General features: G+C 48.3%; 1 protein-coding gene and 1 long non-coding RNA gene across 2 annotated transcripts; one reads left to right on the top strand and one right to left on the bottom strand.

Moving 5' to 3' along the window:
• Positions 1-404: 404 nt before the first annotated feature.
• CELA2A (chymotrypsin like elastase 2A) lies at positions 405-15,764 on the bottom strand. The gene is made up of 8 exons (NM_033440.3): positions 15,703-15,764; positions 15,322-15,410; positions 10,838-10,935; positions 9,635-9,763; positions 8,974-9,110; positions 6,352-6,497; positions 4,958-5,110; positions 405-506 (listed from the first exon to the last, which is right to left on the bottom strand). Exons 1-8 carry the CDS (start codon positions 15,740-15,742, stop codon positions 489-491), a joined length of 810 nt encoding a protein of 269 aa, NP_254275.1. The 5' UTR covers positions 15,743-15,764; the 3' UTR covers positions 405-488.
• LOC105376767 (uncharacterized) lies at positions 4,991-8,981 on the top strand. Its single transcript, XR_002958256.2, has 3 exons — positions 4,991-5,356; positions 7,624-8,414; positions 8,748-8,981. It is a non-coding gene; the product is annotated as an uncharacterized LOC105376767 (long non-coding RNA).

Here is a 15,764-nt window from a genome sequence, read left to right as displayed (position 1 = left end):
GGCTGGGTCCTTGAGGTCTCAGTAGGGCAGGGTGACGTAGATGCGAAATTCTTTTTTTTTTTTTTTTTTTGAGACAGGGTCTCACTCTGTCGCCCAGGCTGGAGTGCGACTAAGTGATCTTGGCTCACTGCAGTCTTTACCTCCTGAGCTCAAGTGATCCTCCCACCTCAGCCTCCTGAGTAGCTGGGACTACAGGTGGGTAACACCTCGCCCATTTAATTTTTGTATTTTTAGTAGAGACAGGGTTATGCCATGTTACTCAGGCTGGTCTTGAGTTCCTGGACTCGAGTGATCTGCCTGCCTTGGCCTCCCAAAGTGCTAAGTGCTGGGATTACAGGGTTGTGCCACTGTGCCCACAGCCCTGGATGTTAGGACGGATTGCTAATAAATCTCTCATCAAGATGTGATTTGCATAGTTGTCACTTTATTATATTATTTTCCTTCTGTGACCTTTCCAAGTCTGAAACAGTCCCAGGGACTTCTTTTGGTTAGTTATTTGCAATCACCTGCAGGACACACAAGATAATCGTCAGGTTCACCTAACCGCAGAGCTGTGCATGGCAGTTTCCTGTCTCTGTCCTCCTGGGCTAAGCTACTCATGTGAGTTACAGGCAGCCCACACTACAGTAGCTCCTGCCTGAGGAGTTCTGATGACGTTTCGGAAAAAAAGATGTGATCACAGCTTTTCATTGACCTGTTAGGGTCTTCCTGTAAAGGGGGTCTTAGCCAGGAGTCCTGTGTGGGCTTCAGGGTAGGGGGCCTTCGAACCCCTAAAAATTATATTCCAAATGTGTGGATGGCATATTTTTAGATTTCATTTGTTTCTTAAATCAAAACTGCTGTTTGCAAGGCAGTTATGCACTGTGGTTGGGGCTATAACTGTTTCCAGAGGCTGTTGATCAGTGTCTGTTAAACGTTTTTTTTTTTATTTGTTTGTTTGTTTTCTTTTTGAGACAGTCTCACTCTGTTGCCCAGGCTGGAGTGCAGTAGGGCGATCTGGGCTCACTGCAACCTCCACTATGCAGGTTTAAGTGATTCTCATGCATCAGCCTCCCGGGTAGCTGAGATTATAGTCATGCACCACCATGCCTGGCTAATTTTTTGCATTTTTAGTAGAGATGAGGTTTCACCATGTTGGCCAGGCTGGTCTCAAACTGCTGACCTCAAGTGATCTACTCGCCTCAGCTTCCCAAAGTGCTCAGATTACAGGCGTGAGCCACCGCGCCCAGCCTGTTAAACATTTTGATATGCCAACTTCATGATCCAGTGCTGTAAACTGCAGGAGATCCAGCTGCTACAGCACAAATACTCAGACCAGTGTGCAAGAATTATGTCCAAGGATGTTCATTGCACAATGTAAGAGTGAAAAATAGGAAACATGAAAGCTGCATTCATTACACTCAAACTATGGAATACTATTTAGCTGTTCAAAAGAATGACATGTATGTACTAACATGTAAAATGTGATAAGGTGTTAAGTGAAAAACAGCTGCAGAACAGTATGAAGACTCAGATCTTAGTTTTTGCATAGAAGACAGTGTCTATCTACGTAAATATATAGCTATATATGCACATAAAGTTGAGACCACACACAAGCTGTTAACAATGACAACTTGGCCAGGCACAGTGGCTCATGCCTGTAATCCCAGCACTTTTGGAGGCCAAGGCGGGCAGATCACCTGAGGTCAGGAGTTTGAGACCAGCCTGGCCAACATGGTGAAACCCCATCTCTACTAAAAATACAAAAATTAGTTGGGCATGGTGGTGTGTGCCTGTAATCCCAGCTACTCAGGAGGCTGAGGCAGAAGAATCGCTTGAACCCGGGAGGTGGAGGTTGCATTGAGCTGCGATCAAGCCACTGCATTTCAGCCTGGGTGACAGAGCGAGACTCTGTCTTAAAAAACAAAAACAAAACCAATGATTACCTCTGGAGAGTGGAATTGGAGATGTAAAATGAGGGGGGACTTCTTACTTTTTTACCTGATACTCTTATAGTCTTTTAATATTTTTACAAAGAGTATGTATTACCTTCCGGAAAAAGAATAAAAACTAAGGATTGCTGAAGGTTCACATGTGACTGTCATTCAATGGACATTTGTTGAAAGGATGAATGCCCCAGGCCACTTGTCTCCTCTGCTTCTCTGCTCTTTTGCTTGTATTTCCTGACCTTGGCTCATCACCTGTCTGGGTTTATCCAGGCAGGTGCTCTCAGGCACCCCCAGGGCTCTAGTGGTATGTGACTCCAGGCTGCACACACTGTGTCCCTGGGTTGGGGCTACTGCAAGGTTTCACTAGCTCCTCCGCTGCTGCCAGGGGCAGCCCCCACCCAAGGACAGCTGGTTGCTTGGCTCTCCCCCTTCTGAAACCCGTTACCGGGCATCTGTGCCTGTCCCGACTGCTCTCCCATGAACACAGGGCCTCTGCCCAGCTGCCTTGCGAGGCGTGCTGCCCCGTGGATCCCTGCTGCCATCTGGCCATGCTTCGGGATCTGGCCTGTTCTGTTGTGCTTGTGTCTGTGGCTGGGAACAGCTGATGCTGGGAAAAAAAAATTGGGACAATTGCCCCTGCCCCTGCTTCAGGTCCCCAGGTTGCTGCCAGGACCAGCTGCATGGTGACTCCCACAGCAGCTGGGGCTGGAAAACGGTCTTAGGATTTGGCTGAGAAAGGCCCCTAAGCAGCCTCTCGTCCAGTCAGTCTCAGGCCAGGCTCCTTTGACATGTGGGTGGCGCCTCCAAAGGTGGACTCAGATGGGTTTTTCCCAATTTAGATATAAAAAAGCACCATTAATGATTAATGGCTACTGTCTTTTTGATTTTTCATTTTTGTCCAACAAACGTCTTTGGAATCTCTGCTTGTGACCACTTGTTGGCAAAAGGATGCCAGCAGACAGACAAATGAACAAGGATCTGGCAAGAATCAGTGGGAACACTTGGAAGCAGCCACCTGCTTATTTTGACAGTTTAGTTTTCCTCCTGTGACCACGTGCTCATGGCTGCAGTTTCATATTTGGTTTTATAAGTGTCAGTTTAATTCAATTTAACACTTCTCTGCAAATTAAACTTAGTGAAGTCAGATGCCAGCTTTCCCCTTCTTTAGGGGCTCTGCCACGAATACCATAACTCCCATTTGCTCTAGCGCCTAAATTGTGGAGGAGTCCTGGTCTAGTTCAAGTCCCATTTTACAGAAGAGCAAACTGAGCTGGTCCCTCATTGGCACAGAGTGTCCGACTCTTTCCTTCTAGCATCCAGTACGAGGCATGGTGGCTCCTCTGCCCTCTCATGGGCAACTCTTTCTTTTTTGTGTGTTTTTTTTTCTTTTGAGATGGAGTCTCGCTCTGTCGCCCAGGCTGGAGTGCAGTGGTGCGAACTCGGGTTACTGCAACCTCCACCTCCCAGGTTCAAGTGATTCCCCTGCCTCAGCCTCCTGAGTAGCTGGGATTACAAGCACGTATCACCACACCCACCTTATTTTTGTATTTTTAGTAGAGACGGGGTTTCCCCGTGTTGACCAGGCTGGTCTCGAACTCCTGACCTCTGGTGATCTGCCCATCTTGACCTCCCAAAGTGCCTGGATTACAGGCGTGAGCCACCAGGCATCCCTTTCTTGTGACGGGGTTTCCTGTTCTGGCTGCTTTCACCTACTGCTGCGTGTATCCATGGCTGCTCCTTAATATTGATGCCAGGTATTATTATCATTATTTTTGGAGACAGGGTCTTGCTATGTCGCCCAGGCTTAAGTGCTCACTGCAGCGTTGGCCTCCCGGGCCCAAGTGATCCTTCCACCCAAGCCTCCCAAGTAGCTGAGACTACAGGCATGTACCACCGTGCCTGAGTAATTAAAAAAAATTTTTTTGTAAAGACAGAGTCTTGCTATGTTGCCCAGGATGCTCTTGAACTCCTGGGCTCAAGCAATCCTCCCTCCTTGGCCTCCCAAAGTGCTGCGATTACAGGCATGAGCCATGGCACCTGGCCTATTATTTTTAATAAATAATTTTAATGCTCATTGTTATAAACAAATGTGTTCATTGTTAAAAACAAATTGAGTTATTGTGGAAGCTGAAAGGAGACACCTCTCTGAGTTGTTTACTTTTACAAGACAGGGGGACCAACTCAGCTCTATTTGCCTGGGATGGTCCCAGTGTAAAACAGGAAGTCCCACATCCTGGAAAACCTCTCAGTCCTGGGCAAACCATGATGGTTGGTCACCCTACAGAATAGCTGGAGGACCCCTGAGGTGGACTAATTTCCAATAATTAATGCTATGGGGATATCAGGTTTTGGGCTTTGCAGATAAATATACCTGTTTATAGCACTGGATGGTGGAGTCTGGGCCTACACACAGATAAACAAAAATAAAATCACCATTTCTATGGCACTCACTCTTTTTTTTTTTTTTTTTTTTTTTAGATGGAGTTTCACTCTTCTTGTCCAGGCTGGAGTGCAATGGTGCAATTTTGGCTCACTGCAACCTCCATCTCCCAGGTTCAAGGGAGTCTCCTGCCTCAGTCTCCTGAGTAGCTGGGATTACAGGAGTGCGCTACCACACCTGGCTAATTTTTTTTGGATTTTTTTAGTAGACATGGGGTTTTGCCAGGTTGGTCAGGCTGGTCTTGAACTTCTGACCTCGTGATCTGCCCGCCTTGGCCTCCCAAAGAGCTGGGATTACAGGCATGAGCCACGGCGCCCAGCGGAACTCACTCTTCATATGCCTGAGGAGTGTCCAACCTCTTTGGACAAGGCCACCCTCTATGTTCCTTTTCACTCAGCTTTATCCACACAGAAATTTGGGGGACCCATGGCAGGCCCAGCAGTTACTCAGGTCTGCAGCCTCCTCCAAGGGGTTCCCATCTAGCTCTCAAGAGGAAGGAGGGGATTCTCAGTCACCAGGTGGGCATGGCACTCCCGAGGCCAGGTGAGCAGGGTAGTGCCTTGGGGCTCAGGGCTGGTCCGGTTCTTACCGAATTGATCCAGTCGATGTAATTGGAGACCCGCGTGAAGACGGAGGGCTTGTGGTAGTAGTTGCAGCCGAGGCGAGACCCGAAGCTGACGATGCCGTGCACCTGCCACCGGCCGTCAGACGCCTGACAGTTCAGTGGCCCGCCAGAGTCTCCCTGAGGAAGGCCAGAGTTATAGGCAGGTAAAGGGAGAGGAAGGGGCTGCCCATTGGAACCATTGTTCTCAATGCATTTCTATTGTTCTGCTGCAGGTCACTGTCCTCGGAAGCTGACCCTTGTGGTCATAGCCCAAGGTGGTACCATAATTCCAACAAGAGCCAACACTTATTCTTCCTGTGTGGCCAGAGCTGAGCTAAGCATGTTCTATGCCTCATCTCATTAATCCTCACAAAATCCTATGAGGTAAATATTCGTAGCATCCCCAGGCCACGGAAGAGGAGAAACTGGAGTGTTGAGAGGTTGGGACTTGCCCAAGGTTGCACAGGCAGTTTGTAAAGGAGCTGAGGCCACATCCCAGACTTCAGCTGCCAGGCTCTTCCCCACTGGTTCCGTCTTCCCGCGGGTGGTCTATGTGGGCAGAGTGTGTAGGGCACAGTGTGATCTGAAGGGCGTGTGGAACTCTTTCCTACTCCATCCCCACTTCACTGCTAAGTCCAACACAGAGCAGTTCCTGGTGGTTAAGACACTGTCTCCAGGAAGGTTTCCGTGGCAGCTACCTGGAGGGGACACGCTGCGCCATTGATGAGACTAATTCAACAGAAAAACCAGAAGTCATCGTAGAAAGGCCCTAAGCCAGGGAATACTTTCCTTTGGTTCCCTTCCAGCATAGAGGAAAGGATACATAGTGACAGTCACGAGAGACCTTGATGAGACCCAGGGAAGGACTTCCCAGCAGTGAGATGGGTGGATACTACAAGGAGAATCTCAAAACATCTCAAAACAAGAACAAAAAAGAACCAAGATCAAGTTTTTTTGTTTTTTTTTTTGAGTTTCGCTCTGTCACCCAGGCTGGATTGCAGCGGTGTGATCTCAGCTCACTGCAACCTCCGCCTCATGGGTTCAAGTGATTCTCCTGCCTCAGCCTCCCGAGTAGCTGTGAGTACAGGCGCCTGCCACCATGCCCGGCTAATTTTTTTAGTTTTAGTAGACACAAGGTTTCACCATGTTGGCCAGGCTGGTCTTGAACTGCTGACCTCAAGTGGTCTGCCCGCCTGGCCTCTCAAAGTGCTGGGATTACAGGTGTGAGCCACCGTGCCTGGCCAAAGATATATCTGGAACATGTTTCGGGGTAATTCTGCCAGGAGGTGGGAGGATGGACCTATGGAGGGATGGACCTCTATAGCCTTATCCCCAGCCACATTTTGTCATGGAGCGGAGCCCCTGATTTTGGTACTCACGTTGCAGCTGGAGATCACGCCATCACCCCCAGCACAGATCATACTGGTTTTCACGCTGCTGCCCCACCAGGCAGAGCTGGAGCAGGTGGCATAGTCCACAACCAGCAACCGGCCCTGCTGCAGGACATCAGGAACAGCCCCGTTGGCTGAATGAGATCAGAGAGAAGCCATTAGGGATGCAGGGACTCCTGAGAAAAAGGAAGTGATGGACCCGTCTTAGGTTTCCCCTGTTCCTGTCTTCCATCCATTGCAACATGCGAACAGCCACGTTTGTCTATACTGTGTCCTCACGGTTGATTGGTTCAGCAGTGAACACCTGACTCAAGCTAAGCCAATGAGCTCCCTCCCCTGGGATTCTGAGATGGGGTCTATGAGATTCCGGTTTCAGAGGACATAATTCTGGGAAGCTGTTGGCAATGACTGACATTTTGTTTTATGTGGAGAATGAAGTAGACCCACAAAGAACAGAAATTCTGAGGGAGGGTTTCCTGTGTTTCTTACAGGTTTCCAGCCCCTGATTCTAGCTTGTTCCTGATGCCTGGCTGTATCTCTGCCCTTGGGATAAAACTTTTAAATCCTTATAACAATTTCCCTTTTTTTGCTGAGCTAGCTCCATGGCTTTCTGTCACTTATCTGAAATAAGAAAGTGAGCCTCCTGGCTGTTAGAGCCCCCTCCTTGGGAAAAATATGCTGGTGTGGTGAAGGGAGGGCTTTCATAATGGCCCCCAATGACACAGCCACCATCACCTCCATTACTGTTACCACAGCTATGAGTGGCAAGGATGAGATTAACACAATTCTTCACTTCCGATTGAAGCCTAGGGAAGTTAAGTGTCGGTCGGGCGCGGTGCTCACCCTCTAATCCCAGCGCTTAGGGAGGCCAAGGTGGGCAGATCACTTGAGGTCAAGAGTTTGAGACCAGCCTGGCCAACATGGTGAAACCCCACCTCTACTAAAATACAAAAATTACCCGGGCATGGTGGCACTCGCCTATAATGCCAGCTACTTGGGAGGCTGAGGCAGGAGAATCGCTTGAGCTCGGGAGGCAGAGGTTGCAGTGAGCCGAGATTGCACCACTGCATTCCAGCCAGGGTAACAGAGTAAGATTCTGTCTCAAAAAAAAAAAAAAAAAAAAAAAAAAGGGAAGTTAAGTGTCTGGCTTAAGACCACTAATAAGTAATTAATTAACACTTGCATAACATTTTGCAATGTATGATGCATTTTCACCTTTCACCTCTTTTAGTCTTCACCAACAGTGTTTCCATTTTACAGATGAGGAAACTGAGGTTCGGAAGTGGCTTGCCCAAGGTTTCACCGTGACTGACAGAGCTGGGCCGAAAAGCCAAGCATTTGGAGGCCTCCCCACTCTCACTGTCTCAGATGAAATGCGCCTGCCCCAGGGTTGTCTGGGGAAACAAACAGGAGGTTGTGCTTGTATCTTAATAAGCATGAAATGCCTCTTCCACCACCGCTCACCGCAGGATTTGATGTGTCCTTGTGTTTACAGATAAGCCAGTCAAGAGGGCAATGGGAATTATTTGAGGGTACGTATGTGGATGTACCCCTGGAAAAACATGTCATTATACTTATGGGTTTATGTCATTAGGAAAAAATGTCATAATGTGATTAACACTCATAATCTCATTATGGTCATAAGGTCATTATTACTCATCCCTTCCTAGAATCTTCCAAACCTCTGGTGATTTCACAAGGGAAGGGCGGGAACTCTGTTCCTCTTGGTGGCTACTGTCATTGGATCTCTGACCCTTGGAGTCTATGTCAAAGGAGACCCGCCCTCATTCAGGTTCTGAGCAGCAAGACCTAATGGCACAGGGGACAGCTTTTGCTATGGGGCATGGAGGGTCTGATGAGGGCTCCAGGGGTCTCAGGTCACAGAGGAAAATGCTGTTCTGAACTCTAGCCTTGGGCCACACAGAAGATGTCACATGGTCTCTGTAACTTTCTCTCCATCATAGGGACAGTGACAACAACTAACACAGCACCTACCCCATTCTGGGCTTCCTATGGATTATCTCCTTTAATCCTCGTGACAACTCTGTGATGTAGGTGCTATTATTATGCCTTTTGTTTTTGAGGCGGAGTCTCGCTCTGTCCCCCAGGCTGGAGTGCAGTAGCGAAATCTTGGCTCACTGCAACCTCCATCTCCCAGGTTCAAGTGATTCTCGTGCCTCAGCCTCCTGAGTAGCTGGGACTACAGGTGCACACTGCCACATCCTGCTATTTTTTTTTTTTTTAATATTTTTAGTAGAGACAGAGTTTCTCCGTGTTGGTCAGGCTGGTCTCCTGACCTCAAGTGATCCGCGGGATGGGCCTCCCAAAGTGCTGGGATTACAGGTATGAGCCACTGCGCCCAGCCAAATATTTGCATTTTACAGATGAAAAAAGTGCTGCATGGAGAGACCTAGTAATGTGTCCAAGGTGTCACAGTCATTAAGTGGGAGAGCTGACATTTGATCCCAGGCAGGCGTCAGCCTATGCCATCCCGTCTCTCCAAGGCAGCCACACACCCTGGGATGACAGGTGAGAGGCCCCGGCCAGACAGGGGTGACGTGAATCACCTCCCTTCCCTCCCAGGCCTGGGGGCTCCTGGCTCCCACTTACTCTGCAGCCTTCCCCAGCCCGTGACGTAGCAGGGGTAGTTGTTGGGTAGAATGGTGCCGGCAGGAGGGAGGCAGGCCAGCTGGATCTTGTCGGTGAGGGAGACGGGGTTAGCCAGTTTGAGCAGGGCAATGTCGTTCCTGGGTGAGTGTGGAGGCGAAGCATGAGGACCGGGTTGACTTTTCCTGCCCTGTGGGCTTTGGAGGGCTTGGAGACCTTGTCATCTTCCCTGTACCCTGTTACCCCAGGTTGCTCTGACTGGCAGGGCCCCAGGGCATGTTTGAAAATGCAGAGGGCCTTGTTGAAAGGGGGAAGGCAGGAGAGATTGTGTCCTACTCCAGGGACAGTCACAGGGTTGACAGCACTGTCCCTGTGTCCCCAGGACCTGGCATGAAGTAGATACATGCTCAGCGGACAGGGGCCCTGCAGGTGTAACTGGCAGCAAACCCAGGTCGCTCTGGCAGTCTTTGCTTCACCCTCCCCAGGTCACATCCCCACCCCAGACATCTTTGGAGCTGGTTCCACATCTAAGAGGCCAGAGCTCCTTCCCCCTCCCTGTAGAAGAAGCAGAGGGGGTGTGGTGTGGTTGAGACCCTTGCCTCTGTGAGACCCCCATCTGTTCCCTGACAACCTCACCCCCAAGTGCACCCAGACAGAAACGAACCCTTTGGAGATTTGGTTGGAGTTCCAGTCCTTGTGCACCACAATCTTAGAGACACTGACTGCCAGCGAGCCGGACTCCGCAACGTAGAGGTTGTGCCGGCCCAGCCCCACGCGGTAGGTCCTGGAGGAGCTGGGAGAAAGGGGGCCCAGGGAGAGGGTCACCTCCAGAGGCCTGGCTTTGGATAATGCTGGGGATAGACCCAAGTAACTGGCTGCTGCGTGAGCCACTAGATGGGACTTGGGGATCTTTCCTCCCCTGGGACAATCAGTTAGTTATAATAGGGCCTAAAGTATATAACCTAAGAACTATGATCATATAATAATTGTTACTATACTAACTATAAACTACAATATAAAATAAAAGTTATAATAACACAAACTCTATAGTTCTTATGGAGGGAATGAGATGAACACAGAGAAAACAGGAGTCATTTGCCCTCAAGGACATTTTTCCCACCTTTCATTTGCAGATGGGGAAACTGAGGCCCAGAGAGGCGTAACCTGGCCCAGAGTCCCACCGTTAGTGAGAAACCAGAACTACAAGCCAGGACTCCTGACTGTAGGCCTCTATTATTTTCCCCAATACCTCCTAGAGCTTATTATAAATCGGATGGGAGAAGGGATCACTCCTGGTAGGGAGTCACGCCGACCCGGCAGAAACTCCGGTGAGTTCCAGCTGTGATGAGCAGAGGTCACGGACAAAGAAGAGGATAAGTGAACAACGTTGCAGAACCTTGTGGGCCTTTATAATTCATCTATAATTCAGAATTAGCTTTCACTGAGCACTTACTAAGTGCCAGGCCCTTTGGTAAATCAACTCATTGAATTCACACTAAATTCTGTTACTCCATTTTTCTGCAGGTGATGGTATTGAAGCTTTGAGAAGTCAGTTAAGTTGTTCAAGGGAACCCAATTCCAGATCCAGAGGCCACATGTAGTTTCCCCAAGAGGGCAGAGATTGGGCCTTCCCCTCCTCTTCATCCTCCCTCAGTGCCTGCCTGGCACAGACACTCCATCCATGCCATGTACTGACATTGATGGGCCAACACACTGAACCATTGATTGACTACAGCTTGTGTCTCAGCCAGTATAGTGGTTATTTGCAAGGCTGCTTTATGTAGCATGGTTCAGGCCATTTGAGCCCCCAGCTCAGAAATGAGCACCAGCTGGTGAGCAGGCCAAGCGCCCAGGGAAAGGCAGTTACCTGATGCAGTGGGCAGCCGTCAGGACCCAGCTGTTGGCTATCAGGGACCCTCCGCAGGTGTGGTACCACTTGCCATTGGAGCTGTACTGCAGGGAGACCTGGGGAGAAGCAAAGGAGCTCTGTGGCTAGGTTTGAAAGAGCAGGGCCTCCCTGCACTCCAGTTTCCCAAGAACGGGGCTGGGACAAGGGTAAGGGGGAGTGAGGCAGTCGCCTCATGTGCACAACTTAAGGCAGCACCCAAAACCTCAGCCATCAAGATAAAAAACGTGTTAATGCAATCTACATGAAAAACAATCAGGCCAGGCATGGTGGCTCATGCTTGTAATCCCAACACTTCGGGAGGCCAAGGAAGGAGGATCACTTGAGCCCAGGAGTTTGAGACCAGCCTGGGCAACATGGTGAAACCCCATCTGATAAGGTTTGGCTGTGTCCCTACCCAAATCTCATCTTGAATTATAGTTCTTATAATCCCCATTTGTCGTGCGAGGGACCTGGTGGGAGGTAATTGAATCATGAGGGTGGTCACCTCCATGCTGTTTTCATGATAGTGAGTAAGTTCTCACAAGATCTGATGGTTTTATAAGGGTCTTTCCCCCACTTTTGCTCGGCACTTCTCCCTGCTACCGCTGCGTGAACAAGGATGTGTTTCCTTTCCCTTCTGCCATGATTATAAGTTTCCTGAGGCCTCCCCAGCCACGCTGAGCTATGAGTCAGTTAAACCTCTTTCCTTTATAAATTACCCAGTCTCAGATATGTCTTTATTAGCCGTGTGAGGCAGGACTAAATACATTGTCTCTACAACAAAAATAGCCCAAAATGAGCCGCTGGGTGCGGCGGTGCATGCCTATAGTCCCGGTTACTCAGAAGGCTGAGGTGGGAGTATTGCTTGAACCCAGGAGTTTGTGAACCAGCCTGGGCACCATAGTGAGAACTTGACCCTACCAAAAAAATTTTAAAATAAAATAAAATTAACAGAGTGAGACCAGGTCTTTAAAAAAAAAAAAAAAGAACTTTAAGGTGGTGACATTTGACACTGTTTTAGTCTCTAATGAAGCTGTTCCATGCCCTTCCTGTTCCTTCATTCCTCCTCCCCTGTCTTTCAATTCCCTGCCACGGCCAAGCAGAGGGGAGGGAGGTGACAGTAGGGCATGGACTGCTCTGATCGGGCTCCCTATAACTGTGGGGAACGATGACCTGTTTGTTGGCAGATGCCTGCTTTTCTCTGAACGTTGTTGTTTTTAATTAGCCATTTGGCATTTCTCGTTTGTGTGACATTAAGAGGTCTTAAAAAAGATGTTTAAAATTAGAAAAAGTGAAAAAAGATACTTAAAAGGATGTACCCCCCCCCCAATTTAAAAATGTGCTGAAACCATCGTACAGATGTGAAATTTAGCCCACATAATACGTATTATGTGTGGCCAGCAAAGTGTAGCTAAAGAGGTAGCACTGAACCAGATTTGAATCCTCATTCGCCCCCCGGGCTAACCCAGTGCCTTTGGGGAATTCTGTAACCTTTCCAAGTCCCAGTTGCCTTCTCTGGAAATGGGGAACATAAGCCACTGTGCAGGGCTCTCAGGGTGACTCATACTGTAATTAAGCCTGGGTGACAGAATGAGACTCTGTCTCCTGGAGAAGAAACAAAATTGCATTAAAATATCATTCATCTTCGTTAGTGAGGTTTTTTGTTTGTTTGTATTTTTTTTTTTTTTTTGAGATGGCTATCTATGTTGCCCATGCTGGTCTCAAACTCTTGGGCTCAAGCAATCCTCCTGCCTCAGCCCCTTGAATAGCTGGGATTAAAGGTGTGTGCCACTGTTCCTGGCTGGTTGCTGAGTTTTGTGCTACCCCCTTACATTTTGCCTCCAGAGTGAATGTCTTACTTGCCTCATCTGAGTCCCCACCCAGCTAGATCTGCCTTATTTCCGCAGGGAAACAGAAGCACAAAGCATAGGGACTCTTCATGGATTAACATTCACTGGTTCTCAAGGCAAGAATACTTTTGTGCAAGAGGGTGAGGAAGTATTTTTGTAGGCAGCAATGATTAGTTCTTAGCACAAATGCGCCCGGTGTTATGGGGCCCTGTAGCAGAGGGACTGTGGCCCTTCTTCCAAATTCTCAGGGAAAAAATACTGTGGGACTGTGAGAAAAGCAAAAGAACTGGCAAAAGCACACAAAGCCAAGTATATAAATTGTGAGGCTGGGTTGAGAGGCTCACGCCTGTGATCCCAGCACTTTGGGAGGCCGACGCAGGAGGATCACTTGAGCCCAGAAGTTCAAGACCAGCCTGGGCAACATAGTGAGACCCATCTCTAAAAAAAAAAAAAGAAACTTAACCGGGTGTGGGGGCATGCACCTGTGGTCTCAGCTGATAGGGAGGCTGAGGTGGGAGGATCGCTTGAGCCTAGGAGTTCGAGGCCGCTGTGAGCCATGTTTCACCAGCCACTGTACTCCAGCCTGGGTGACAGAATGTGACACTGTCTCAAAAAAAAAAAAAAATTACTATGGGTGAGCACAGTGGTGGGTGCCTGTAATCCCAGCACTTTGGGAGGCTGAGGCAGGTAGATGGCCAGAGCCCAGGAGTTGGAGGCTGCAGTGAGCTATGATTGTGCCACTGCACTCCAGCCTGGGTGACAGAGCAAGACTCTGTCTCAAAAAAAGAAAAAAATGTGAAATATCTGCCATCATTCTATCGTTGACAGTCTTTTTTTTTTTTTTTTTTTTTTTTTTTTTTTTTTTTTTTTTTTTTTTTTATGGATCTCACTCTGTCACCCAGGCTGGAGTGCAGAGGTGTGATCTTGGCTCACCGCAACCTGCGCCTCCCAGGTTCAAGCGATTCTTGTGCCTCAGCCTCCCAAGTAGCTGGGACTACAGGTGCCCGCCACCATGCCTGGCTAATTTTTGTATTTTTAGTAGAGGCAGAGTTTCACCATGTTGGCCAGGCTGGTCTCAAACTCCTGACCTCAGGTGATCCACCTGCCTCGGCCTGCCAAAGTGCTGGGATTACAGGCATGAGCCACCACGCCTGGCCTATCATTGACAGTCTCTTAATCAAGGAGCAGATGAATGAACGCTGGCCTCTCTAAACACAGTGACTGCTGCATGGGTCACTCTGAATGCTCAAGGCTAGTGGGCTGCTAGTTGCTCCTCCTACTTAAGGTAGAAACTCATCCTGATTCAGCTGGGTTTGCTCCCAAAGCAGTTTATATCAATTATGCTTGTAATAATGAAATTTGATTAAACATGTAACCAATGAAATATGAGTTCAGAAAGAGAGTCGTTATTTATATGGAAACAAAGTTAAATGCTTGGAAGAGACTGGATCACCATGACTCTTAAAAAATTGCTCTTGAAGTAGTGTCTGTGAGAAAATGGAAAGATTGGATGGGCTCATAACTCAGATTGCTTTGTGAACGTCTCAAAGTTACTGCTCTGCTTTAAAGAAACGGGTTTGTAGATAAGATATGGGGCATGGCTTATATGAAAAAGACAGTTAAGAACTCAAAAAATTGTTTACATAGTCTAAGATAAAATCTTTACTATATATATATGATTTAAAATAATTTCTTTATAACCAACTTTTCAATTACTCGGTCCCAATTACATCAGATAAATGAGATTTCACTATATTTGTTTATGTCAATGTAAACTTTACACATTTCTCTTAAAATCCCCACCATTAACACGTCTGAGTAATTTACACCTGTGCCCCACTTGGCAGTTTAGTCTTGATACCACTATGATTATATCAACTTAAGAAAACATTTTTTTCATTGGTAACATTGATTTGCCTGTGGTTAAAGATTAATCTGCGCAAATAGCACTGATTGGTTCCTTAAAGCAAGGAATGTTTGCATAGGTAGTCTTGAATGGTTCCTAGACTGATGGTACATTTGTAAACAAGCCTCTGATTGGTTAATAGAGTAATACTATATTTGCTGCCTATGGGCAGTGGGGAGGGGACAGCTCCTTACTGCAGCTGGAGGAGGCACCTCTCCCTCCACTCCCAAGGTTGGCCAAGGCCACAGAAATGTATCTTTTTTTTTTTTTTTGAGACAGAGTCTTGCTTTGTTGCCCAGGCTGGAGTACAGTGGTGCAATTTCAGCTCACTGCAACCTCTGCCTCCTGGGTTCAAGCGATCCTCCTGCCTAAGCCTCCCCAGTTGCTGGGATTACAGGCGTGTGCCACCACACCTGGCTACTTGTGTATTATTAGTAGAGGCAGGTTTCACCATGTTGGCCAGGCTGGTCTCAAACTCCTGACTTCAGGTGATCTGCCCACCACAGCCTCCCACAGTGCTGGGATAACAGGCATGAGCCACTGCGCCCAGCCGGAAATATATCTTATTGCTAAAGTTGCCTGTGCTGCTCTCTGAGTCCCATCAATACTCACTTTGCCAGCACAATAGACGCCATGGTGGAAGGGCAAAGGGGAGATGTAAAGGGAGTGGGGCAGGGACGGGGAGAAGTACAGTGTGGTCAACTCACCTGCCAGGGCCAGCTGTTGGGCCTCGCTTCTTCACCGCCAACCACCCTAGTCACATAAGGTGGGTAAGTGGGGTCCCCACAACTGAGGGCTGTGAAAAGAGAAAGGGTCTTGAGTCAGGAAGCAGCGACCCACACAATGTAAACTACACTTGCTGCGCATTCTGACCCCCCAAATAGAAAACCCTTGTTCTAGAAGGATCCCAAGAGGTCATAGAATCCTGCTCTTTGCTCCAATTCTTTGAAACTCCATTCCAATGTTCTTATGATTATAGGTCTGAATGCAGTAGGGGTTGGGTGGGGGCGAGAGGGGAGGACAGGAAGATCCCATTTCCAGCCCCACCAGGGCATGGGAAACCAGTGCCTCTGGGTAACAGGACTTACCTCCAGCCACCAAAGTGGACAGCAGCAGCGTCCTTATCATGGTGTGTCCGTGGGAGTTCTGT

The sequence above is a fragment of the Homo sapiens genome, chromosome 1 (genome assembly GCF_000001405.40).
Source record: "Homo sapiens chromosome 1, GRCh38.p14 Primary Assembly".
Lineage (NCBI taxonomy): Eukaryota > Metazoa > Chordata > Mammalia > Primates > Hominidae > Homo > Homo sapiens.
Note: the sequence above shows the minus strand (reverse complement) of the source record. Positions and strands in the feature narration are given on the sequence as shown.

Bases quoted from the DNA above. Each gene is read 5' to 3' on its own strand.
- CELA2A (NM_033440.3), bottom strand. From the start codon at position 15,742: ATGATAAGGACGCTGCTGCTGTCCACTTTGGTGGCTGGAG. The intron at 10,936-15,321 runs GTGAGTTGACCA...GCTTCTCCCCAG, and splicing joins CCAACAGCTGGCCCTGGCAG to GTCTCCCTGCAGTACAGCTC. The intron at 9,764-10,837 runs GTAACTGCCTTT...CCTTTCTCCCAG, and splicing joins ACGGCTGCCCACTGCATCAG to CTCCTCCAGGACCTACCGCG.